Below are 27,606 nucleotides of genomic sequence, written 5' to 3'. Positions count from 1 at the left end.
CACGCAGCTGGGATGACAGGCATGCACCACCATACCTGGCTTAGTATTATTTTTTTCTACCTAAAATTTCTAGATCAGCTTTATCCAAGCTGAAAGTCCTATTAATTTGGAACCCTGGTTTGGTTTGTACTCTAAATACATGCTGAGATATTAAAATACTGCTCTTAGCTCTCCCCACCATCTTGGATCCTGTGGAGGCCTCCTGGGAACAGGACTTCTTAAAGGAAGTATGTCTGGAAGGCTGTGGTCCAAGGGCATTTTTGCTGGCTATAAGTGGGGTCTCCGGAAAAAAAGGGAGCACATAGCTTTTCTTAAAATTGAAGGTGTTTATGCCCCAGATGAAACAAAATTCTATTTGGGCAAGAGATGTGCTTATGTATACAAAGCAAAGGACAACACAGTGACTCCTGGTGGCAAACCAAACAAAACCAGAGTCATCTGGGGAAAGGTAACTCAAGCCCATGGAAACAGTGGTGTGGTTCATGCCAAATTCCAAAGCAATCTTCCTGCTAATGCTATTGGACACAGAATCTGAGTGACGCTGTACACCACAAGGGTTTAAGCTAATGAAAAGTCAGTAAAAGTGGATTTGCGCTATTGTAAATAAATAAATAAACAAAAATAAAATACTGCTCTTAAAATCTAGAACTGTTATTGTTTCTTGATTTACAGCTAGAAGAGATTTCTAAAGACTGCCTCATTTCTGTCTCTTCTAAGCTTTTTTCGTAAATGACTGTATAACGTGTAATGTATTCATCTGACTATAACCTTAGGCAAGTTATTTAACCCTTCCTGAGTTTGAGCTCAGTGCAGAAAATATTTACTGATATCAAGTGCCAAGCATTGTGCATGGTTTACTCATGGTTGCCAAGGATTCGATGAGAATTTACATAATGTTCTTTGATATACAGCAAAGCCACAGCAAATATTAATTTCATTCATGGGCATTATCTCATCGCTGAAAGTTTTTTATTACTTAGAGCGTAAAGTGCATAACTGATTCAACAATACATTCCCATCTCTCACTGTCTGAAACTTTGAAATGTGACTAAGTTCAGAACGGTTCTGAAGATAGGGTAGTGAGAACTGCATCAAAGACAACACAAAATAGAGATAGATAAGGTTTCCTTTTTAGGACATTTAAAACAGTATGAAGAAAATTCTGAAGTCAGAAAAAATTTTCAAAATAATTTTTTGAAGGCCAGAGCAGTGGCTCATGCCTATAATCCCAGCACTTTGGGAGGCAGAGGCGGGTGGATCACCTGAGGGCAGGAGTTCGAGACCAGCCTGGCCAACATGGTGGAAACCCCATCTCTACTAAAAATACAAAAATTAGCCAGGGGTAGTGCCTGTAATCCCAGCTACTTGAGAGGCTGAGGCAGGAGAATCACTTGAACCCAGGAGGTGGAGGTTGCAGTGAGCTGAGATTGTGCCAGTGCACGCCAGCGTGGGCGACAGAGCAAGACTCTCGTTTCAAATGATAATAATAATTTTTTGGAGTCAGACACGTTAGGGTAGTTATACAACAATTTACTAATATGGTAAAGTACTCCCCCAAAAATAAAATAGCAGCCAAGCATGGTATCTCATGCCTGTAATTGCAGTACTTTGGGAGGCCAAGGCCGACAGATCACTTGAGCCCAGGAGTTGGAGACCAGCCTGGGCAACATGGTGAAACCCTATCACTATAAAAAATACAAAAATTAGCCAGGTATGGTGGTGTAGGCCTATGGTCCCAGTTACTTGAGAGGCTGGGGCAGGAGGATCACTTGAGTCCAGGAGGTGGAGGTTGCAGTGAGCTGAGATTGCACCACTGCACTCCAGCCTGGGTAACAAAACAAGACTCTTGTCTCTAAATAAATAAATAAATAAGCAAGCACCAATAGACTCAAGGACTCAAATTTTATATATACATACTTTCTTCTTTCTTCTTAGGGATTCCTGTATTCTAAGAGACACACATTATATTAACCAATCATTTTTCTCGCCTCTAAAAACTCACATTTAAATTTGTTCAGAGAAATAGAGGTGTTCTTTACCATTTTTAAAATCTAGTTCCTTCCAAAACGCTGGTCATGGTCATAATCTAGTTCAATTGTAACACTTTAAATCTCTGTATCTTCAATAAAAGGTATAATGCACTCATGAAAACATGAGGAATTTATAAGTGCTTTCAGCCAATACAGGGGCACCAATAACAAAGATCTGTATAAAAAGAGTTTGGAGAAGCTATCATGTTAATGCACAAACAAGTAGAAAAGAAAAGATATACACAAAACTTATCTTACCTGCTGAAAATTTTCGTTTCCCCAGTCTCTCAGTAAGACTCAATCTAACCAAGGGTTCTTCTCCTGAAATGGCAAAAGCAGAATTTCTCTATCCTTAGTCAATTTTTCTGTATTCAGTAACTACTAATGGGTACAAAGTATGTTCTGATATTAGTGTAAATCCACCCAGAAAGTCTCTTGAAAATCAGGTCTCAGTCTTAAGGAAGGCCATTATATCAAAAAAAAAAAAAAAAAACCCAAACCTATTAATAATAAACAGCCAAACATACAGCCTAAACAGAAGCAATAGCATAGTACTAATTATTATTATTATTTTGATAATAATAATAGACTCTTGCTCTGTCACTCAGGCTGGAGTGCAGTGGTGCCATCTTGGCTCATTGCAACTTCCACCTCCTGGGTTCAAGCAATTCTCCTGTCTCAGCCTCCCAAGTAGCTGGGACTACTGCGCACACTACCACACCTGGTGTTTTTTTTTTTTTTTTTTTTGAGACAGAGTCTCACTCTGTCGCCCAGGCTAGAGTGCAGTGGCCCGATCTCGGCTCACTGCAACCTCCACCTCCCGGGTTCAAGCGATTCTCCTGCCTCAGCCTGAGTAGCTGGGATTACAGGCGTGCACCACCATGCCCAGCTAAATTTTGTATTTTTAGTAGAGACAAGGTTTCACCGCGTTGGTCGGGCTGGTCTCGAATTTCTGACCTTGTGATCTGCCCGCCTCGGCCTCCCAAAGTGCCGGGATTACAGGCGTGAGCCACCACACCCAGCCTAATTTTTGTATTTTTAGTAGAGACAGGGTTTCACCATGTTGGCCAGGCTGGTCTTGAACTCCTGGCCTCAAGCGATCCGCCCGCCTCAGCCTCCCAAAGTGCTGGGATTATACATGTAAGCCACTGCGCACAGCCTAGAATAGTACTAATTATTAATAGCAGTCGAGTATAAGACAGATTGTATTCTTAACCAATTGGTTATAAAGCTGAAACTATCCTTTTGCTTATGCACTTTGATATGTTGAATGAAACTGTACTCTACTCCGATGTTAACTGTCCAATATAACTATCTCTGATCACCTCAGGAAGAAGTGAGCTCTCTTTCTTCTAATTCTTTGTTGTTTGAATTGCACAAACATTTAAATATATCTATATCTATAATTCCTTATTAGGCTTAAAATTATTAAGTGAAAATACTTCGTTACAGGCCGGGTGTGGTGGCTAACACCTATAATCCCAGCAATTTGGGAGGCTGAGGCAGGCAGATGATTTGAGGCCAGCAGTTCAAGACCAGTGTGGCCAACATGGTGAAACCCCGTTTCTACCAAAAATACAAAAATTAGCCAGGCGTGGTGGCGGGTGCCTATAATCCCAGCTACTGGGGAGGCTGAAGCAGGAGAATCACTTGAACCTGGGAGGCGGAGGTTGCAGTGAGTGGAGATCGCACCATTGCACTTTAGCCTGGGCGACAGAGCAAGACTCCATCTAAAAAAAAAAAAAATTAATGGCCAAGAACGGTGGCTCACACCTGTAATCCCAGCACTTCGGGAGGCCAAGGCGGGCGGATCACCTGAGGTCGGGAGTTTGAGACCAGCCAGACCAACATGGAGAAACCCCGTCTCTACTAAAAATACAAAAAAATCAGCCGGGCTTGGTGGCACATGCCTATAATCCCAACTACTTGGGAGGCCGAGACACGAAAATTGCTTGAACCCAGAAGACGGAGGCTGCGGTGAGCTGAGATCATGCCATTGCACTCCAGCCTAGGCAACAGGAGTGCAACTCTGTCTCAAAGAAATAAATAAAAAACTTTATTATATATACCTATTATTCTTTAGTCACATGGGAAGCCAATAAATGTATTGAGTGGATATAAACAGTAAATGGAAAAATATATGTGAGGGCTGCTTGACAAAGAATTTCAACCTTTTAAATATTAGAGTTGAATGTACCAACTTTTCATCTTTAGATTATCTCATCAGCATACTAACAAATTCCTGAAAATTCATCAAAGGTAAAAGATACCCAAGGATTTTGCATTCCCAATTATATAAAAGTAGAGGCTTGACAACTCTAAGACCTATCTATACCTTACCTTGTTTGGTGGAGAGAGTTACTGTCCTCACCACAGTCCTGACATTTTCTTTTTCAGGACCTGGAACGGGCTCAGGGTGGAGTAAAAGACTGGAAACTCCTGAAGAACCCTCTGAATAAGGCAAGTCAAAGAACAGCAAATAATTTATGGAAAATAATGCTATCCCAAGTCAAAAAATTTGTTTTTGTAACCAGTTAAGTCCAATACAGACTGATATTATGACTATAAGCCAATCAGCCTTTCTGTATCTGTTTGCCTACAGTCAAATGGAGTAGTGGTGAGGGGAGCCTTGGGCATGATGTGAAAACAAAATATAAAATTATTTTGAGTGACTTAGGCACCCAAACTACTTTTATTTACCAATAAGGCTAATATTTACCAATAAAGCTAGTATTATTCTAAAATTAACCTCAGAGGTACACTAGCCATCAGGTGTATCAATCCAACCTATTCTATTTAATCATCTGAAAACACAACTCCAAGGTTGCTATAAAGCAAGCCTTAAAAGAAGGTTTTTAGAACCATTTCTCTCTATATATACTACACTTCACACTATAAATTTTAAGGCTGGGGGCTGGGCGCAGTGGATTACCTGAGGTTGGGAGTTCGAGACCAGCCCAACCAACATGGAGAAACCCTGTCTTTACCAAAAATACAAAATTACCCAGGCGTGGTGGCGCATGCCTGTAATCCCAGCTACTCAGGAGGCTGAGGCAGCAGAATAGCTTGAACTGGGAGGTGGAGGTTGTGGTGAGCAAAGATTGCGCCATTGCACTCCAGCCTGGCAACAAAAGCAAAACTCTGTCTCAAAAAAAAAAAAAAAAAAAAAAAAAAAAAAAAAAAAAATTGGGGGTTGGAAATACAGAGCAATCAGGCTGACGTAAGCTCCAGAAGAAAATCCTAGCAGCTCTTGAGGAAGAACTCTTCTACTAGAAAATGACGTTTTTCCTTTTTTTTCTTTTTTGAGACAGAGTCTTGATCTGTCGCCAGGCTGGAATACAATGGTGCGATCTCAGCTCACTGCAACCTCTGCCTCCTGGGTTCAAGCAATTCTCATGCCTCAGCCTCCCGAGTAGCTGGGACTACAGGTGCATGCCACCCCGCCTGGCTAATTTTTTGTTTTAGTAGAGACGGGGTTTCACCATGTTGGCCAGGATGGTCTGGATCTCCCAACCTCATGATTCGCCCTCCTCGGCCTCCCAAAGTGCTGGGATTACAGGCGTGAGCCACCACGCCCAGCCTTTCCTCTCTTAATATAATTTCTTTTTAACCACTATAAGAACTTACAGAATTAATATAGTTCTTATATGATGTTCTTCAGAGCTATATTTTTCAAGATATACAAGTTCTTTCAGATTCTTTATTGTACCCAGCTCTGAAAAGTTAGGGACTGAAACACAGCTGCAGTGAATTAAAAGCAACCACAATTTAAATAAGTCTGTGTTTTACTTCAAACAGGCCATGGAAATGAAAATCTATTTGCTCATTTTGGCTGTTGCTTCTAGAAGCGTCCTTAGTATTCTTCCCTAGCAACATACAACTATCCATGCCAAAACGTGATGACTTACCACCTTGCTTCTTAGATTTTTCCTTCATTTTCTTTGACTTAATTTCCTCAAGAGTTTTTATTCCAAAATTCAAACATTCACCTGAAAATTCAAATAGAAATTTTATGAGGAACGGGAGCCTTTTCATCTTTGTATTTTATCTGTACATAGCAGGCATTTATTTTTGAATAAATGATCAACAGAAACTAAGTATAGGTAAGTATGCGTGTAGCATGGGAAAAAGAAGAGGGAGGTCAATGATTGTGAACTAAATTTCAAAGGTAGTTTCAACAGTGCTATAAGAGGCACCAATCTAGCCTCTTCTTACCTTGCTTTATATTGACTGCAGGTTTCCGGACAGAAGTCACTCGTAATCCATTGTGAACTTCAGGAGTTGGTTGCAGGGTAGGTGTTTTGGTTTCATCACCTTCCTCAGAAAACTGATCTATATATCAACATTTAAGGCAAATTCACAATTAAAAATACGCCTATAGCTTTAATCCTGATTCTGCCCAATTCACTATGAGACCCTATTTATTTGCCTTAAAGAAGGAGCCAGACAGAACTTACCATCATCATCTTCATCATCATCTGCAGCATTAATTACAACTGGTGGATGCGTGGGGCTAGGAACATTTTCGGAACTTTCTACTTTCATAACGCTCCGCAGCTGAGGGGAAGGATTGGACTGGACAGACAATTTGTTCTGCTGAACTGAAAGTTGGCTAGCCTTCACTTCCTCTTCTGGTGACTCAGGCACAGTGGGCAACACAGCTAAACGCACAAAATCAGTCATAAATTAAAAACAGAAGATACAACCCCAACTTACCAAAAATTCCTGACCACCTATGAAAACTATAGTGTATTTGTCTTATGAGCATTTATACTAAATTTCCTCATTTAAGTTCTAAAGTCCCAGGGAGGGAAAAGATGTGCTTTTACCTAATTAACTCTCCACTAACTCTCCACTGTACATAAACACAAAGTGGGCACTCAAAACAGAATCAACAGAAGACTAGAAGAAGCATAGTACCTGTTCACAAATTCTAGACCTTTAATTTTAATACTGCAATTCTAGGCTTTTTGCTCAGCAAAGAAGTAGCTTCTAAGACCCAAGCATATGACACTTACTTGAACCAAACCAGAAAGGAATAAGTCTACTTTTTTCCCTTAAATTGAGGTAAAAAGATGTAGCCATCAAATTTTAATCACGTAGCAACTGTGGCTTTTAAATGGCCAATTCCACTTTTAAATTACTTTAAAATGAACTTTGGGAATAACCACTAGCTTTTTAGTTTTATTTTAGATTATAGTCTAGAGTAGGGTTGGCAAATATTTTCTGTAAAGAGCCAGTTAATAATTTAGGCTTTGTGGGCCATATGGTTTCTGTCTCAACTACTCAATTCTATAGCACTAGCACAAAACTGATAATAGAAAATATGTAAATGAATGGGCAAGGCTATATTCCAATAAAACTTATTTTACAAAACAGGCAGAGGACCAGTTTTGCCAACCTTTGACCTAGAAAATCAAATTTATTTTGAAAACGTTTATGGGTCTGATAAGAATATGAGAAATGAAGTAAGTATAATAACTTAAATGGCATGCCAAGATATATAATGGTTCTAAGGCCAAGGATAAATCATTTAACCTTAATAAGATTCAGTTCACTTATCTGTAAAGTGGAAATAATTCTGCTGTTTCACAAGACTGAAAGGAGTCAATGTCTGAAAAGTACTGTTGTACAGTGTGCATAATAGGTGTTCATTTGATATTCTTTTAAAATTAAAAACTGATCTCACTTTTGCTCGGAGGTAGGAAAAGGCCATCAACATATCGTCCTCTATTGTGATGGAAAGCGCAGTTTAATTTTTGACATCCTGTTGGCTGATTTTCCCAATAACAAGGAATTTCACTGCGTTTTTTCTGTAAGAGGGAAAAACACATTGCTTTCAAATAAAACAGTGATACGTATATTCATGTGGCAGTTTGTTTTCTAGACAAAGTTCATACAGGGTTCAAAAATCCGAGGCATGTGAGATGAGATGATTTTTAGAAGGAAGAGAGATTGCTGAAAATAACATAACTTAGGCATGATGGAGAGCTGAATGGAGCAGGAGAGTAGTTTATGTTATTCTTTCCCTTTTTACCCTCATCCTGGAACCCCTAAAATGTCTACACTTAATTTAGAGAAGCAGGATGATACAGTAGTTTAAGTTTATGAAATCAAAGATAACGGTCTGAATCTCTATTATGTTACTTATTGGCCAGGTGGCCTTGGATAATTCATGCCTCTAAGCCTCACTTTCCTTAGCTATAAAACGGGAATAAATGGTTTCTTATGAAGAGTACATAAAATAATGTATATAAAGCACTAAGCACATAGGTCAAACTCAATAAACTGCAGTTATTACTTGAAGCTGAGAGTTCAAGGGTTTGAGAAAATTCTTCCCATTCATGAATTCTCAAAGTAAGGCACCTATAACAACACACTAAGGATGTTAGGTATCCTTCCCAAGTCACCTTACTTTTTTTTTTTTTTTGAGACAGAGTCTTGCTCTGTCACCCAGGCTGGAGTGCAGTGGCGCGATCTCCGCTCACTGCAAGCTCCGCCTCCCGGGTTCACGCCATTCTCCTGCCTCAGCCTCCAGAGTAGCTGGGACTACAGGTGCCTGCCACCACACTCGGCTAATTTTTTTTGTATTTTTAGTAGATAAGAGGTTTTACCATGTTAGCCAGGATGGTCTTGATCTCCTGACCTCGTGATCCGCCCGCCTCAGCCTCCCAAAGTGCTGGGATTACAGGTGTGAGCCACCGCACCCGGCCAGTCACCTTACTTTTATAAAGGAAAATTGGGAGAAAAAAAAAAAAAAAGAATACCTGTGCATCTAGAATAGAATAAACTGCTGAATCATAGGATGTATGTCCTAGAAAAATATATACATTAGTTCTCCAACAGCTGTGTATAAGCAATGTTCACAGCAATATTATTTTCAATAGCTCTATAATTTTGCAAACCCATGTGTACATCAATACTAGAATGGATAAAGAAACTGTAAAGTATTCGTACAACAGAATATCATCTAGTAATGAGAAGGAATAAACCATTGCTATACTCAATGCCACAGATGTGAAATGAAAGAAGCCAGACACAAGAGTGCATACTATACCATTCCATTTATGAAAAGATGAAAACAGTCAAAACTTCTCCATGGTAGAGTAGTTGGGATGCTGATCAGCTTTGGGGATGTGGTTAGTAACAAGGGGATGAAGGGGAAGATAGATTACTGCTAATACTCTATTTCTTGAACTAGGTGCTGATCAAGTAAGTATAATCACTCTATGAAAATTCTTCAAGTTGTAAGATTACGATTTTGCACTTTTCTAGATACATTTTAATAGTTCAAAAAAGGGGGAAAAAAGATATGAGAAGTACTCCCAAAAACTAACTAACCTCCGATGAACTGCATTATGTCGAATCTCTAATCATCATAAACAGCCTATGGTTTAAAATTCCAGGAAAAAACACCAGCATTGAAATTTAAGAATATGGAGAAGAGAGACAGAGAAACAATAACCATTACAAAAAGATGCTTAAATGTATCAAAAAGGGCAAAGGTCAAAATCTACTATATTGAGAGAGTGATAAAATTCAATTATACACTGTTTTCAGGGACGTGGAAGAATCAGGCAGTCTCAAACACATAATGGAAATGTAAATTTGCTCCACATCTCTGAAAGGTGATTTGGCAAAATCAGTTTTTTAAAACTATGTTCTAAGTTTATGTCATATGCATAATTACCTATTAATATTTTTAAAGTATAATTTTTAAAAAGAATTAATTATTATTAATCAATATTTATTTATTAATTTTAATATTATTGATATTTTCTAAAAGTATAATATTTTTTAAAAGTATAGGCTACTGTGGGCACACTACCTATAGAGTGGCCCTGCTCCACAAGGAGCAGTAAAAATAAAGTAAAAATAAAAGTACAGCAAATACCGTTACTTTCAAAGAACTAGGAAGAATTTATTAGTCCTCTGTCACACCCGAAAGGTAGATGTAATAGCTACCACTGTTTTTTAGACAGGAATAACAATTATTCAATTCTTCCTTTCTCAAGGCAGAACCTAATGCCAATCTTCCTTGTTCCTAAGCCTACCTTTGCTTAAATTTTACATCTTTCCTGGAAGCAATTTTCAAATTACTGAATGACTTCTGTAACAGTATCTTCTATACACAGAAGTCACATGACATTTATTTGATCTGTTTAATACATTTGCTAGATTTTGTTTCTAATTGAAAAGTAATATATGTGCAACGAAGACAACTTGGAAAATGGAAATAAATGCCAATTATGCTATTACCCAGAGAATCACTTATTTTGGTATGAGTTTTTACTTGTAAAAAAAAAATCACAAGTGACTATATGCATACTAAAAAGAAAGGTATTCCATGTAATTCTGTACATTTTTCCTTAGTAATATCCTCCACATGCCAGGCGTGGTGGCTCACGCCTGTAATCTCAACACTTTGGGAGGCCAAGGTGGGTTGATCACCTGAGGTCAGGAGCCTGACCAATATGGTGAAACCCCGTCTCTACTAAAAAATACAAAAATTAGCTGGGCATGGTGGAGGGCGCCTGTAGTCCCAGCTATGCGGGAGGCTGAGACAGGAGAATCACTTGAACCCGGGAGGTGGAAGTTTCAGTGAGCCAAGATGGAGCCACTGCACTCCAGCCTGGGTGACAGAGTGAGACTCCACCTCAAAAAAAAAAAAAAAAAAAAAAAATCCTCCACAGTAATATTTCTCCTACATAATTATGTCTTCACATTTTTAACAGTAATACAGCACATGATCCAAAGATAAAACAGTTGATTCTCATTATTTGCAGTAGTTATGTTCTATAAAGTCACTTGGAACACTGAATTAGTAAATACTAAACCATTATTCCTAAGGGAAATAGAGTTGGGTTCCTGTGGGCCTCTGGTCACATTTTCATCAACTAATCAATACATAACTTTGTTTTGGGTGCATTTAATATTGTTCATTCATTAATATGAAACGCAAGACAAATAGCACTGTAACTCACACTTGAACAAAGCTTATCTAACATCTATTTTCTTTTTTTTTTTTTTTTTTTGAGACGGAGTCTCGCTCTGTTGCCCAGGTTGGAGTGCAGTGGCACAATCTTGTCTCACTGAAACCTCCACCTCCAGGGTTCAAGCAATTCTCCTGCCTCAGCCTCCCGAGTAGCTGGGATTATAGGCACGTGTCACCATGCCCGGCTAATTTTTTTGTATTTTTAGTAGAGACAGGGTTTCACCATGTTGTCCAGGCTGGTCTCAAACTCCTGAGATGATCTGCCTGCCTCAGCCTCCCAAAGTGCTGGGATTACAGGCGTGAGCCACCGTGTCCGGCCTAACAATCTATTTTCTCTATAAGACACATCACAGCTTTCTTCTACTCAGCAACACTACAAAGCACTTGAGCAATAGGCCTAGGAGCCATTTTAAGCAGCACCACCACCAACCAAAAGCCGTGGAACCAAATACATCATGAAAAGGACACTTGTTTACAGTATCAGAAGGAGGCAGAGCTCTGTTCCGCCTCACCTGGAAATGTGACTCAATTTGTGAACCAATGTGACACATGTCAGATGACTCAAATTTTTTGCTGCTCTGAACATGCCTACGAATGGCCAAGTACTGATTTGGGGGTTATAAATTTTAGCAAGTAGGCAAATTCGCAAATATGGAACCAATGAATAATGAAAATGAATTGCACACAGAAGGGGTACATGATAAAAAGACTCCTTCTCATCCCTGACACCTTCCCATAGCCACTGTTGTTAAGTTTCACCTTTATACTTCCAGAGATTTTTAAAATTCATATGCAAGTGAAAAACAAATATAAATTATTTTCCCTCTTTTTTTTTTTTTTTTAATTTTGAGATGGGAGTCTTACTGTGTAGCCCAGGCTGGAGTACAGTGGTGTAATCTCGGCTCACTGCAATCTCCACCTCCCAGGTTCAAGCGATTCTCCTGCCTCAACCTCCTGAGTAGCTGGGACTACATGGCTGCGTCACCACGCCCGACTAATTTTTGTAATTTGAGTAGAGACGGGGTTTCACTGTGTTGGCCAGCTGGTCTCAAACTCCTGACCTCAGGTGATCCAGCCGCCTCAGCCTCCCAAAGTGCTGAGATTACAGGCATGAGCCACGGCGCCCGGCTTCCCTCTCCTTTTTTAACCCACCTTGCTCTTCACCTTAGGTTTTTCACTTGACAATATATCCTGATTATTTCCGTATCAATAAATTAGTTTCCCCTTTAAAATTTTTTGTTAACAGCTACCTGGCACTCTACAGTATGAATGTAGTAAAACCTTATTTTAAATGAAGGATAGTTAGGTTATTTCCAGTATTTTACTATTACAAATTGCTACAATAAGCAATTCTGCACACATCTTATTTTGCAGGTAAATACCTATGTGTAAAAAGTATAAGTATTTAGTTCTTTCAAGCAATACAGCCAATAAGCCTCAGTGCAGAAAAGAGTTAGCATAGCAGCTCTTAGACTACTGTCCTTAGAAATGCCTGCTTGCAAGGCTTGCTCTTGGCTAGCATCTGGGACCTTGGCTTTTAGACGCTCCAAGTTAATTGGTAAGTGGGGAAGGGAGAAGGCTCAGTATGCCTAGACTGTTTGTACAAACAATATGGTTAATGCTGAACATCTGCCTTCCTTCTGGGAGTCTGGAATTTGGGTACATGTTTGGTAAAGAGTGCTTATATGGCTAGCACCAATGAAAATCCTGGATGCTGAGTCTCTAATGGATTTCCCTGGGCAGGAATACCACACATGCATTGCTGCATTTTCATGACTAGGAAAAGAGTGTGCTCTGTGTCACCCCTAAAGGGAGTGGGCATAAAAAAACAGGCACACGGATTCTTCCAGATTCCTCCAGTGTCTTTTTCTCTTATGATCTGACAGTGTCTTTACTCTATTGCTGCAATAAATCTCAACTCTGAATACATCCTAGAGAATCTCTAAATGAAGAGATGCTCCTGGAGACACTGCCATACCCTCCATAGGAGCTGTGCCAATATACACTCCACTAAAAATGTTACAACATTGACTTTTCATGTTATAACATAAAATATAAAAGTTGCAGAGTACTCCTTTATCAATTTATTTGATATCTGCTGCTATTTGCAAGATAGGTAGCTTAGAATGTAGTTAAGAGACAAGAAATACAAAACCAGACTGGAGTAGCTGACCCCAGGCACATGAACTGCATATTTAGTCTCACTCTAACAATTCAGTCCAAAGTCATTAGATGGGGTTGAGGGAGACAGGCATTCAGATGGGAGAAGGGAAGGACATGGTGGCCCAGAGCAGGGTATTGGAGTCTGACTGAGAATAGGAAGGTATCCACATGACCATGTGGAACTGGCATAGGGTGTTGGAACCCACGGAGGGTTGGAGGGTTAAGAGGACATGTGCATGAAAGGGTACCCTGACAAGTGTTGAGCCTGAGCAGGGTTAGCAATGTCTCTGTGCAGAAGAGATCACAATGTAGGATGAAGAATATATACTCATGTAGGGTCAGTCTAGAATGGCATCAAAGACCAAGTGGGGTTAGGAAGGCAGGGTATTCCCAAGGGAACCTGGTACAGAGTTGGAGTATGTGCGCAGGGTCAGGACAGCATCTCACATGTGAGGGCCGCTCAGCACAAAGTATCACAGCCCAAAGGTGTGAAAACAGTATCCATTATAGGGATCGTGTTGGGGGTCAAAAGTAGGATGTTGGGGTCCAAGCAGGGTGAGAAAGAGGTCCCTATGGTAAAGCAAGCAGGGAGGCTTAGCACAGAGTACTAGAGTTGAAACATGGTGAGAAAGGTGTCCTTGTGGAGAAGCTGTGTGTGTCATGTCAGAGCCTGAGAGGAAGGAAAAAGCTGTGACACAATATTGGTTTTTATACTAGTAGACTGATCAAATAAATAAAAGTATTATGAACAATGAAAACCAAGTTTCTCACTTCTGGAGAAGAGTTACAGGTATGGAAAAGGAGAAGTCTAGACTAAGTCCTGTGGCATTGATGAACTGGAAGCATCTATATGAACTCATAATTTGTAATACTATGTATCTATTATTAAATACATAGGGCCAGGCACGGTGGCTCACACCTGTAATCCCAGGACTTTGGGAGGCCAAGGCGGGCGGATCACGAGGTCAGCAGATCGAGACCATCCTGGCTAACACGGTGAAACCCCATCTCTACTAAAAGTACAAAAAATTAGCCGGGCGTGGTGGCGGGCACCTGTAATCCCAGCTACTCGGGAGACTGAAACAGGAGAATGGTGTGAACCAATGAGGCGGAGCTTGCAGTGAGCGGAGATCGCGCCACTGCACTCCAGCCTGGGTGATAGAGCAAGACTCCGTCTCAAAAAAAAAAAAACAAAACCAAAAACCATAATGATGTAAATGTCTGTTAAGTGTATACATTTATATATTCCTCAGCTCTGTCCACTGAGAGGACCTGAAAGTGATGACACTCTAGGAGCAGCCCAAATCTTAACTTCTATATACCATTATTCACTAAAAGAAACCAGGGCACCTTGGATAAATGGCCGAATACAGGGCTGAAGTAGGAAAAGTACAGGATGAGCCTGGAAAATCTTGTCAGGCCAAAAAGCAGAGATGCTCAAAGAATGATGGAAACATCAAAAGAACACAAAAATCAGTTTGAAAGGCTCCTACTTGCCAAATCTGGGTCAATCGGAGCATAAAAGTAATGATAGTAACAGAGTACGACACACTGATTAAAATAGAAAACCACATGTATTAGTCCATTTTCACATTGCTATAAAGAACTATCTGAGACTGGGAAATTTATTTAAAAAAAAAAGGTTTAACTAACTCACAGTTCTGCATGGCTGGGGAGGCTTCAGGAAACTTATAATTATGGCAGGAGGTGAACAGGACGCAAGACACAAACAAGTCTTACATGGCAGCAAGAGAGCGCGAGCAAAGGGAGTCCCACACTTTTAAACCATCAGATCTCACGAGAACGCACTCACTATCATGAGAATAGCGTGGGGGAAACCGCCCCCATGATCCAATCACCTCCCATCAGGTCCCTCCCTTAACACATGGGGATTACGATAGAGGTGAGATTCAGGTGAGGATACAGAGCCAAACGTATCACCACAAGTTTGCATTAATTCACATCAATAACGGGGAAAAAGTTGAAGTCTGATGAGAAACGGGGTAAAGGGTCTAAAAGTACCTCTCCACAAAATATTTATTAATTACAAAAAGAAAGCCTTTATAATGAAGCAATCTGGCAGATACCATCTTAATTGAGTGATCAAAGTTAACATCACCAGTAATGAGAAAATTAAAACTGTGTGCCACGGGATGATATGCAACAAAAATACCATTCGCCGGGCGTGGCTCACACCTGTAATCTCAGCACTCTGGGAGGCTGAGGCAGGTGAATAACTTGAGGCCAACAATTCGAGACCAGCCTGGCCAACATCGCGAAACCTCGTGTCTACTAAAAAACACAAAAAATTAGACGGGTGTGGTGAGGCATGCCCGTTGTCCCAGCTACTCGAGAGGTTGAGGCACAAGAATCACATGAACTCAGGAGGCAGAGGTCGCAGTGAGCTGAGATCCCACCACTGCACTCCAGCCTGGGTAACAGCGCGAGACTCTGTCTCAACTCAAAATATACACACACACACACATAATTTGTGATATTCCTGCTAAAGCTATATAATCTTAATTTAGTAATGAGGGGGAATACAAACAAACCCAAATTGAAGAACATTCTTAAAAACAATTTCCCTATAGCTACCATAAGTGTTAAGGGCAATGAAACGCAAGGCAGGACTGAGCAACTGCTCTCAACAGAAGGAGACAAAACTAGTCGTGACAACTATGTGCAACACTTGAATTTGGGCTTTTTTTTTTTTTTTCTTGAGATGGAGTCTCGCCCTGTCACCCAGGCCAGAATGGAGTGGCGCAATCTCAGCTCAGTGCAACCTCCGCCTCCCAGGTTCAAGCGATTCTCCTGCTTCAGCCTCCTGAATAGCTGGGATTACAGACGCGTGCCACCACACCCAACTAATTTTTATATTTTTAGTAGAGATGGGCTTTCACCATGTTGGTCAGGCTGGTCTCGAACTCCTGATCTCATGATTCACCCGCCTCAGCCTAGTAAAGTGCTGGGATTACAGGCGTGAGCCACTGAGCCCAGCCTGGACTTGCTCTTTCTAAAATAAAAGATATTAAAATAAAACTGGCAAAATTTGAGTGAGATCAAAGGATTAAACGATGGTAATATATCAATGTTAATCTTTTTAAAAAAATTGCTGGAGTCGGCTGGGCGCGGTGGCTCATGCCTGTAATCCCAGCACTTTGGGAGGCCGAGGCAAGTGGATCACCAGAGATCAGGAGTTCGAGACCAGCCTGACCAGCATGGCAAAACCCCATCTCTACTAAAAATACAGAATTAGCCAGGCATGGTAGTGCATGCCTGTAATTCTAGCTACTCGGGAGGCTGAGGCAGGAGAACCGCTTGAACTAGGGAGGTGGAGGTTGCACTAAGCTGAGCCCATGCTATTACACTCCAGCCTGGGCAACAAGAGCAAAACTCTGTCTCAAAAAAAAAAAAAAAAAAAAAATTGGAGTCAGCTGGGCACGGTGGCTCACGCATGTAATCCCAGCACTTTCAGAGGCCAAAGTGGGTAAATCACCTGAAGTCAGGAGTTCGAGCCCAGCCTGGCCTGCGTGGTAAAACCCCGTCTCTACTAAAAATACAAAAATTAGCAGGCCATGGTGGCAGGTGCCTGTAATCCCAGCTACTCAGGAGGCTGAGGCAGGAGAATCGCTTGAACCTGGGAGGTGGAGGTTGCAGTAAGCAGAGATTGCGCCACTGCACTCCAGCGTGGGCGACAGAGTGAGACTCCGTTTCAAAAAAAAAAAAATAAAAAGAAAGAAAAAAAAATTGCATAGAGGAAAGTTGTGTATATATATACACACACATATATACACGTGTGTGTATATACACACATATACATATGTATATATACACGTGTGTGTGTGTGTGTGTGTGTGTGTGTGTATATATATATATTTTTTTTTTTGAGACGGAGTGTTGCTCTGTCACCAGGCTGGAGTGCAGTGGTGCGATCTCAGCTCACTGCAACCTCCAACTCCCTGGTTCGAGCGATTTTCCTGCCTCAGCCTCCCGAGTAGCTGGAATTACAGGCACATGCCACCACACTGAGCTAATTTTTTGTATTTTTAGTAGAGATGGGGTTTCACCACGTTGGCTAGGATGGTCTCAATCTCCTGACCTCATGATCTACCCGCCTCAGCCTCCCAAAGTGCTGGAACTACAGGCATGAGCCACTGCACTCAGCCTTAATATATTTTTTAAAAGTCACTTTTGTCCCTATATTTTTTATTGGCCCACCAGGTCTCCAGACTACTTATTATGATAACGGAAATAAAAAACTTACATCAATCTCCATGTGCCGAAACCTGCACACCTGTCGAAAACAGCGCCCTTCTTGCCATAATGTGCAAACAGTTTCATTTCCTATTGCAGCTTCACAGTGACGGAATGGGCAGCTGTCACCCTGTAAACAAATAGAGAACACTCTATTTGTAGCATTGAAATACATCCTAGGTAAAATATCCATAACAAGAGCTCCTGGAATTTAGACAAGCACAAATGAGTAAGAAAGGACTGGTAAGGTAAAAAACAATGGACATGGAATGACAGGAACAAACCGAGAGCAACAAATTATTTCCTATAACCTATTTCTTGACAGTACCCTTCGTTTGATCTGGCATGAGTGACACAAGCTGAAAAAAAGAGTTGAAAAAGACAAGTAGGAGTGTTAGGTCCTCTTTAAAAATGTATTTTACAGTTCATCTTCAAAACTGACATCTCGCCTTGTGTAACTCTAGCTTTTGATGGAAAATCAGAAAGTAAATAGAATTTAAATATAATTAACATATATACAATATAACTGTGCTCCACTGCATACTTTATGCAACGGTAATATCTGAAATAAAACGCTACTGTTGTGCAAACTGCTATAGGTAAGATAAAATTATCACAGCTTTGCTCAAAACTCATCATTTAAAACATAATATCACCGGGCGTGGGGGCTCACGCCTGTAATCCCAGCACTTTGGGAGGCCGAGGCGGGCAGATCACAAGGTCAGGAGTTCAAGACAAGCCTGGCCAACACGTGAAACCCTGTCTGTACTAAAAATACAGTTAGCTGGGTGTGGTGGCAGGCGCCAGAAATCCCAGCTACTTGGGAGGCTGAGGCAGGAGAATGGCTTGAACCTGGGAGGCGGAGGTTACAGTAAGCCAAGACCATACCACTGCACTCCAGCCTGGGTGACAGAACTAGACTCCGTCTCAAAAAATAAAAATAAAAAAAAAATCAAGATGACTGAAGAACAAATTTTTTTAACATATACGTTTATAGAATTAGTCATAAAATCACAGAAAGCAATAGGTATATGTAAATAGAGCTGCAAAAGAATCAAGGAGAAAAACAGAAGTTTTGACAAAGATTAAGCCAAAAAACTGCAAAAGCATATTTAGTATGATGACTCTATATTCTTAGTACTCAGCAGGAAATCTGGGAGAAGAAAGAAGTCAAATTCAACCCATGACAGTTTCTGGAAGTACAACACAATTCACTAACTATTCACTCACTCATTTAATATGAAGTATATAAAATCAAAGTTAGTAAGGCATAGGTCAAAGTGGCCCCATTTCCAAAGGCACCCTGAACAGATTAATTTTGAACACTGAATGATGACTACATGCCACGTGCCTTTTCACTTTTGTACAAGATGGGAAAATTAGTTATATATAAAATGAAAAGAAAAAAACACTGAATTACCCTAAATACATTATCCTTTAAAAAACTGACAGCCAATAATAAAGTTGGGCAAAAAATATATATATAATAAAAACAACTTAAAATGTTGGGAAAATCTTATCCAATTCTATTAAGCAAATTGTAGAAAGAACTGATTTAAAGATGTCAATTCTTACTTTGGTACATGTGGAATAGAAAAAAAAATAGCAGTCTTCTCCTTGATTAGGCATGCTGGGTAGATTCTTAGATCAGAAGTGGCTTCTTGAAACAAGCCACTGCTTCCTCAAAGCAAGGACCAGGCTCCAAGTCCTCGTGAAATGGGTTTAATCTTCCAAATGACAACTTGATCACAGAAATTGTCTTTAAACTGTAATCCTAAAATGAGGAGACAATGAATTAAAATATTTCAGGTAAATTCTTCCTCCTTCAAATCACCATGGCTAATGAGATCGTATTGCTAGAGTCAAATTTTATTAATACGACCTTGCTTATACAGAGCCTTGTAAACACACTGATTGCGAATACTGTACATTCCCATCTACAATGTAAAATTTTGACTAGAAAGGCCATGCCCTTCTTTTATATTCTCTGTGATGCTTGTTACACAGTTACAGCATTGTAAATAAGCATTGTTAACTAAAGATCTACATTTTATTTTTAACTCTTTTTAGAGACAGTGTCTCACTCTGTTGCCCAGGCTGGAGTGCAATGATGTGATCACAGCTCACAGCAACACTGAACTCCTGGGCTCAAGGGATTCTCCCACCTCAGCCTCCCCCAAGTATCCAGGACTACAGGCACATACCACTATACCCAGCTAATTTTTTAAAAAAAATTTTTGTAAAGACAGGATCTTGCTATGTTGTTCAGTCTGGTCTTGAACTCCTGCCTCAAGCAATCCTCCTCACTTGGCCTCCCAAAATGCTGGGATTATAGGTGTGAGCCATCCCGCCCAGCCTGATCTACATTATACATATATGTATATATGTATGTATATATGTATTTTTGCCTACTAATTTGAAAGTCTCAAAAGACTACATACATTTTAGATTATTAATGGGACTTAGGTTACTAACACAAAATACTTGCTAACAAAATATGATAAAGTAGAATGTTTCATCTAAATGAAAAACTTCAAATATTTTCACAAGCATTTTTATTCCAAAAGTATATAATCATAACTAGGTGAGAAAACCCTGTTTAGCTAGAATAACTGATGAAAACAATTACTTCTGAAAAGGTCTATCGATCTAGCTTACGTTAATGAAGACGACTAGAGGTGTACACCAATTACAAACAAGACGCAAAAGTAGTCTTTGGGGCTTTCCATAATAGTGATTCCACAAAACAACAAATATTTTCTCCCCTAGTCCATGGCATACCCTGATCTCCACACTAAAACGTCCAAGCAAGCTTCTACAAAAGCATATAACAAAAGCACATACGAGAATATGGAAAGGGTTTCCACAAACGTACATACCAGAAGATCAGGTTTCAGAAATAGTGATCTACAACTTGAAATCAATTAAATCAAATTCAGTCATATCTCCCACTAATAATTCCTAATGCAAGAATGGTATGCCATGATGAAAAGTCACCTTGATGTTAACAACCTGGATTAAGAGTCTGACACTGAACATGGGTACTAAACATGTACCCAAATGTTTAAAGTTTACATACCCTTCGACAATTCCATTTCTAGAATGTATTATAATATGTAAAAGTATTAAAGGTAACAATGCACAATAAATGTTATCACAATCTTGTTTTAATAATGAAATAGGCCGGGTGCAGTGGCTCATACCTATAATCCCAGCACTCTGGGAGGCCAAGGTGGGCAGATCGCTTGAGTCCAGGAGTTCGAGACCAGCCTGGACAACATGGCAAAACCCCATCTCTTAAAAAAAAAAAAAAAAAAAAAGCTGGGTGTGGTGGCACACTCCTGTGATCCCAGCTACACGGGGGAGCTGAGGCACAAGAATCACTTGAACCCAGGAGGCAGAGGTTGCAGTGAGCTGACATTGCGCCACTGCACTCCAGCTTGGGCAACAGAGCGAGACACTGTCTCAAAAAAAAAAAAAAAAGAAAAGAAAAGGAAGAAAATAATGAAATAACATCTAGAAACCTAACTGTTCAAAAACTGGAGACTATTTTTAAAAATTATGATATATGGCCAGGCACGGTGGCTCATGCCTGTAATCCCAGCACTTTGGGAGGTGGAAGCTGGTGGATCACTTGAGGTCAGGAGTTTGAGAACAGCCTGGACAACATGGCGAAACCCCATCTCTACTAAAAATACAAAAATTACCCAGGTGTGGTGGCACACACCTGTAGTCCCAGCTACTCAGGAGCCTAAGGTAGGGAAACTTCTTGAACCCGGGAGGTGGAGGTTGCAGTGAGCCGAGATCATGCACTGCACTCCATCCTGGACAACAGAGTGAGACTCTATCTCAAAAATAAACAAATGATTTAAAAAAATTACGGTATATTCATGTAATGTGACAATATACAGCCATTAGAGTTTCATACCAGAAAGTGAATGCTGCTGTAAAAAACCAAAAACAAAAAAATCTAAAAATATGTAAGCAGCTTTGTTATTGGGTCATAGGTGGAGGCTGGAAGACTTTTGAGGTACTTGATAGAAAAGGCCTAGAAGAAACTGCTGCTAAAGCATATGAACGTTAAAGGTACTTAAGGTACTTATGGTGAGGTTTCAGTCAGAAATTAGGATCGTGTTATTGGAAACTGGAGGAAAGGTTATTCTTTTTTTTTTCTTTGAGATGGAGTCTTGCTCTGTCACCCAGGCTGGAATGCAATGGTGCCATCTTGGCTCACTGCAACCTCTGCCTCCCAGGTTCAAGCAATTCTCCCGCCTCAGTCTCCCAAGTAGCTGGAATTACAGGCTTGCACCACCACATATGGCTAATTTTTGTATTTTTAGTAGAGACAGGGTTTCGCCATGTTGGCCAGGCTGGTCTTGAACTTCTGACCTCAGATGATCCTCCCACCTCAGCCTCCCAAAGTGCTGGGATTACAGGTGTGAGCCAGCGCCTGGCCGGAAAGGTTATTCCTGTTAAAAAGTGGCAGAGAACTTAGAATTGGGTTGTGTTGGGCAGAAGGCAGAACCTGGAAGCAATGAACTTGGGTTTTAGCTGAGGAGATTTCTAAGCAAAGTGTGGAAGGAACAGCCTGGGCTTTTCCTGCTGCTTACAGTGAAATGCAAGGAGAGAGACATATTGAGGCAAGAACTATGAAGCAAAAAGGAATAAAGAATCTGAACTTGAAAATTTAGAAAATTCTCACTCTATCCATATTGCAAAAAAAAAAAACAAGAATGTATGCTCTGTAGAGAAAAGGGTATGGGTGGGCAACAGTTTGTTGGAGATTAGGTGTGTGACTAGATTCAGGCAACCATCTTAGCAAAAAATGTTGCCAGCTTAAAATGAAAGAGACAGACATGTACAGAGGGAATGTGATGAGAAGACACACAAGGAGAAGATGACCATGTGGCTGGAGTGATGCATCTACAAACCAAGGAATGCCAAGGATTGCCAACAAACACCAGAAGCCAGAATGGGTAAGGATCATTCCTCTACAGGCTTCAGAGGGAGAATGGCCCTGCTGAAAACATTTTAGACATCTCACCTTCAGAATTGTGAGACAACAAACTTCTGTAGCTACCCAGTTTGTGATACTTTGTTATGGAAGTCCTAGGAACTAATACAGATAACAAGCATAGTCAAATGACCTTTGACAAAGGGGAAAAGGATAGTCTTTTCAACATATGTTACTGGAACAAATGGATATCCACATATAAAAAAATAATTTTAGACACAGACTTTATACTTTTCACAAAAAATAACATGGATAACAACTTAAATACAAAAGAAAACCAATAAATTGGTTTTCAATAAAAACCATTAAAATTTAGCCAGGCATGGTGGTGAATGCCTGTGATCCCAGCTACTGAGGAGGCTGAGGCAAGAGAATTGCTTGAACCTGGGAGGCGGAGGTTGCAGTGAGCTGAGATCACACCACTGCACTCCAGCCTAGGCAACAAGAGCAAAACTCCATCCAAAAAAAAACAAAAAACAAAAAACAAAAAAACATTAAATTGGAGTTCATTAAAATTAAAAAGGTCTGCTCTGTGAAAGCTCTGTTAAGAAGCTTAAGAAAGAATGAAAAAGCCACAGGCTGGGAGAAAATATTTGCAAAACATAACTGATAAGGTCTGATATACAAAATATATAACTCTTGAAACTCAAAAATAAGAAAACAACTCCCCAATTCAAAAAGGCAAAAGATCTGAACAGGTACCTCACCAAAGAAGGTATACAGATGGAAAATAAGCATTTGAAATCTTGCCCAACATCATGCATCATTAGGGATTGCAAATTCCTTTTCTAATGGCTAAAATCCATTTGGGCACAGTGGCTCACACTTGTAATCCCAGCACTTTGGGAGGCCGAGGCAGGTGGGTCATCTGAGGTCAGGAGTTCAAGACGAGCTTGGCAAACATGGTGAGACCCCATCTCTACTAAAAATACAAAAATTAGCTGGCCGTGGTAGCACACACCTGTAATCCCAGCTACTCAGGAGGCAAAAACAGGAGAATCGTTTGAACCTAGGAGGCAGAGGCTGCAGTGAGCCGAGATCATGCCACTATACTCCAGCCTGGGCAACAGAGTGAGACTCCGTCTCAAAAAAAAAAAAAAAAAAAAATTTAGAATGGCTAAAATCCAAAATACTGAAAGCACTAAATGCTGGTGAGGATGGGAAGCAACAAGACAGAAGTCTGAAAAAAACACAAAACATGGAATAGTATGCATCCAATAAAAAGGAACAAAATCATGTCCTTTGCAGGGACATGAATGGAGCCAGAGGCTATTATCCTTAGCAAACTAATGCAGAAACAGGAAACCAAATACAGCATGTTCTCACTTATAAGTGGGAGCTAAATGCTGAGAACACTTGGACACATAGAGGGGAACAACAAACACTGGAGCCTATCAGAAGGTAGAAGGTGGGAGGAGGGAGAGGATCAGGAAAAACAACTAATAGATACTAGGCTTAATACCTGGGTGATGAAATAATCTGTACAACAAACCCCCACGACACACATTTACCTGTGTAACAAACCTGCACATCCTGCACATGTACCCCTGAATTTAAAATGAAAGTTAAGGCCCAGTGTGGTGACTCATACATGTAATCCCAGCACTTTGGGAGGCCGAGGTGGGTGGATCACTTGAGGTCAGTAGTTCAAGACCAGCCTGGCCAACATGGTGAAACCTCGTCTCTATCAAAAAATATAAAAATTAGCCAAGCATGGTGGCACACATCTATAGTCCCAGCTACTCAGGAGGCTGAGGTGTGAGAATCACTTGAACACAGGAGGTGGAGGTTGCAGTGAACCAAGATCACACTACTGCACTCCAGCCTGGGTGACAGTGAGACCTGTCTAAAAAAAAAAAAAAAGAAAAAGACAAAGCTATCTGAATACTTTTCAGACATATATGCAACAAAGGAAAAAGTTTAATAATAAAAAAAGTCATTTGAGGTCAAGAGTTCAAGACCAGCCTGGCCAACATGGCAAAATCCCATCTCTACTGAAAATACAAAAAATTAGCCAGGCGTGGTAGCCCACAACTGTAGTCTCAGCTACTCGGGAGGCTAATGTACAAGAATCGCTTGAATCCAGGGGGCAGAGGTTGCAGTGAGCCACAATCTTGCCACTGCACTCCAGACTAGGCAACAGAGCAAGATTCTGCCTCCAGAAAAAAAAAGTTTTTAAGGGGAATAAAAGGCTTAGAGGTCAATCTCACTCACAAAATCAATATTCCAAAGAACATATTTGAAACTGTTACCGGTTTTAGAAAGACCAGCAACAAAGTAATTGAAACAATGAAATGGTAGCTATGAAATGCAAAGACACAGCAGAATTTACAATTTTTTGGCAACTAATTTTATTTATTTATTTATCTGGAGACGGAGTTTCGAGTTTTGCTCTTGTTGCCCAGGCTGAAGTGCAATGGCACGACCTCAGCTGACTGCAACCTCCACCTCCTGGGTTCAAGTGAGTCGCCTGCCTCAGCCTCCCAAGTAGCTGGAATTACAGGTGCCCACCACCACACTTGGCTTTTTTTTTTTTTTTTTTGTGACAGAGTTTCACTCTTCTACCCAGGCTGCTGGAGTGCAGTGGCGCAATCTCGGCTCATTGCAACCTCCACCTTCTGGTTTCAAGCGATTCTCTTGCCTCAGCCTCCCAAGTAACTGGGATTACAGGCGCCTACCACCATACCCTGCTAATTTTTTTTTTTTTTTGTATTTTTAGTAGAGATGGAGTTTCACCATAGTGGCCAGGCTGGTGTGAAACTCCTGACCTCAGGTCATCTGCCCGCCTCAACCTCTCAAAGTGCTGGGATTACAGGCGTGAGCGTCTGGCCCACAACTAATTTTCAAATCATTTTCTGCAAAGAGCCCTCAAAGTTGGGCAGAGTGTGGAGAAATGGAATCCTGAGTAGATAACACTCCCTTACTAATGTTTCAACAGAAAAAACTCCTTCGTCAGATCTAAGAGCTGGCCGGGCGCGGTGGCTCACGCCTGTATTCCCAGCATTTTGGGAGTCCGAGGCGGGTGGATCACGAGGTCAGGAGATCGAGACCATCCTGGCTGACACTGTGAAACCCCATCTCTACTAAAAATACAAAAAATTAGCTGGGCGTGGTGGTGGGCGCCTGTGGTCCCAGCTACTCTGGAGGCTGAGGCAGGAGAATGGTGTGAACCCCAGAGGTGCAGGTTGCAGTGAGCTGAGATCGCGCCACTGCACTCTAGCCTGGGCGACAGAGTGAGACTCTGTCTCAAAAAAAAAAAAAACCTAACAGCTACAATGTAAAACAAGAAAAAGGAAATAAGAGATAAAGAAAAAAAGAAAAGTTTCTTTATATATCATCTTTATACACTAAGCTTCTGTAACTTTCACTAGGATAAAAACAAATATAATTGCCATTCAAGAAAACGGCAAGGCCAGGTGCAGTGGCTCATGCCTATAATCCTAACACTTTGAGAGACCAAGGCAAGAGGATCACTTGAGACCAGGAGTTCAAGAACAGCCTGGGCAACAGACAGACCTCATCTCTTAAAAAAAAAACAAAAAACAAAAACAAAAAAAACACCACTCCAGCTTTTAAATGATGCTCCAATGACTTTATAATCAATACTATCCCATGCAAAAACACAAAACAAAGATGCACATCCATAAATTTCTTAAGTTTAAAAGGAAAAAAAAAGTATCTAGGTTGCCAAGAAAAACCCAGTTACTTTTTTTTGTTTAGTTTTGTTATTTTTGAGAGAGTCTCGCTCTGTTGCCCAAACCTGGAGTGCAGTTGCGTGATCTTGACTTACTGCAACCTCCACCTCCTGGGTTCAAGCAATTCTCCTGCCTCACCCTCCCGAGTAGCTGGAATTACAGGCGCCTGCCACCATGCCTGGCTAATTTTTGTATTTTTAGTAGAGACGGGGTTTCACCATGTTGGCCAGATTGGTCTCGAACTCCTGACCTCAAGTGATCTGCCCATCTCAGCCTCACAAAGTGCTAGGATTACAGCCGTGAGCCACCGCACCCGGTTAACCTGGTTACTTTTCAACAGAAAATAACCGTTTGAAAATATGAAGCCAAGAAAAATAATGGGACCTTTCTCAACCCACTCTCTAGAAGTTAATGTAGGAAAAAGGACATATTATTTTAAAATCTTCATGCTCTCAGCAAGTTTTAAAGGATATAGCATTGCTACAAATGAACATACCACTATGAAAAAAGAGTGGGGCTGGGTGCGGTGGCTCAGGCCTGTAATCCCAGCAACCTGGGATTTCGGAGATGGGCGGATCACGAGGTCAGGAGTTTGAGACCAGCCTGGCCAATATGGTGAAACACCGCCTCTACTAAAAATATAAAAAATTAGCCGGGCACGGTAGTGTGCGCCTGTTGTCCCAGTTACTCGGGAGGCTGAGGCAGAAGAATCGCTTGAACCCTGGAGGCGGAGGTTGCAGTGAGCCAAGATCATGCCACTGCACTCCAGCCTGGGAGACAAAGCAAGACTCCATCTCAAAAAAAAAAAAAAAAAAAAACAGTGAGAAGAAAACAAAGCTTCAAAAATAATAAGAAAACTCAGGCTGGGTGTGGTGGCTCATGCCTGTAATCCTAGCACTTTGGGAGGCCGAGACAGGTGGATCACCTGAGGTCAGGAGTTCGAGACCAGCTTGACCAACATGGTGAAATCCTGTCTCTACTAAAAATACAAAATTAGCTGGGCGTGGTGGCGAATGCCTGTAATCCCAGCTACTTGGGAGGCTGAGGCAGGAGAATCACCTGAACCCGGGAGGTGGAGGTTGCAGTGAGCCAAGATTGTGCCATTGCACTCCATCCTGGGCAACAACAGAAAAACGCCTTCTCAAGAAAATAAATATATAAAATAATGATAATAATGAAGAAAAAAAAGAAGAAGATGGCGATGACGACGACGAAGATGAAGACTCTAATTTCCAGCCCCTACCTTCAAAAATAGATTTCAGTAGAGGAAAGAACAGAATAAACACTGATGAAAAACATAATAACTGAATTACAAGAGATTACTGACACGACATCTCCACGAATCCAAACCAAAAATGCCAACATATGTCACTAAGAGGGAAATTGTATATGAAATGAAAATAATTCCAGAAAACTCAATTTCTATAAATAGAAATCCTAAAAAGGAATGGAATT

The 27,606-nt window shown here is 40.7% G+C and overlaps 2 protein-coding genes and 1 pseudogene across 44 annotated transcripts in view; 1 reads left to right on the top strand and 2 right to left on the bottom strand.

The window, feature by feature from the left end:
- Positions 1 to 27,606, bottom strand: part of ZBED6 (zinc finger BED-type containing 6) — a 58,502-nt gene that overhangs the window by 17,983 nt on the left and 12,913 nt on the right. Inside the window, exons 2-9 of the mRNA NM_001395895.1 lie at positions 19,018 to 19,216; positions 17,453 to 17,572; positions 7,720 to 7,843; positions 6,488 to 6,691; positions 6,246 to 6,362; positions 5,939 to 6,019; positions 4,371 to 4,481; positions 2,289 to 2,351 (exon numbers count right to left, since the gene is read on the bottom strand). The gene's annotated coding sequence lies outside the window, so the exon portion shown is untranslated. The remainder of the gene's footprint in view (positions 1 to 2,288; positions 2,352 to 4,370; positions 4,482 to 5,938; positions 6,020 to 6,245; positions 6,363 to 6,487; positions 6,692 to 7,719; positions 7,844 to 17,452; positions 17,573 to 19,017; positions 19,217 to 27,606) is intronic.
- The window catches only part of ZC3H11A (zinc finger CCCH-type containing 11A), a 58,502-nt gene that overhangs the window by 17,983 nt on the left and 12,913 nt on the right, over positions 1 to 27,606 (bottom strand). For all 43 annotated transcript variants that reach the window (NM_001319238.2, NM_001376338.1, NM_001376367.1 and 40 more), the window contains 8 exons: positions 19,018 to 19,216; positions 17,453 to 17,572; positions 7,720 to 7,843; positions 6,488 to 6,691; positions 6,246 to 6,362; positions 5,939 to 6,019; positions 4,371 to 4,481; positions 2,289 to 2,351 (listed from right to left, as the gene is read on the bottom strand). In NM_001319238.2, coding sequence (NP_001306167.1) covers positions 2,289 to 2,351; positions 4,371 to 4,481; positions 5,939 to 6,019; positions 6,246 to 6,362; positions 6,488 to 6,691; positions 7,720 to 7,843; positions 17,453 to 17,572; positions 19,018 to 19,071 — 874 coding nt within the window. In that variant the 5' untranslated portion in view covers positions 19,072 to 19,216. The remainder of the gene's footprint in view (positions 1 to 2,288; positions 2,352 to 4,370; positions 4,482 to 5,938; positions 6,020 to 6,245; positions 6,363 to 6,487; positions 6,692 to 7,719; positions 7,844 to 17,452; positions 17,573 to 19,017; positions 19,217 to 27,606) is intronic.
- On the top strand, positions 159 to 640 carry RPL35AP5 (ribosomal protein L35a pseudogene 5; annotated as a pseudogene).

The sequence above is a fragment of the Homo sapiens genome, chromosome 1, assembly GCF_000001405.40.
Source record: "Homo sapiens chromosome 1, GRCh38.p14 Primary Assembly".
In the NCBI taxonomy this organism is placed as follows: domain Eukaryota; kingdom Metazoa; phylum Chordata; class Mammalia; order Primates; family Hominidae; genus Homo; species Homo sapiens.
Note: the sequence above shows the minus strand (reverse complement) of the source record. Positions and strands in the feature narration are given on the sequence as shown.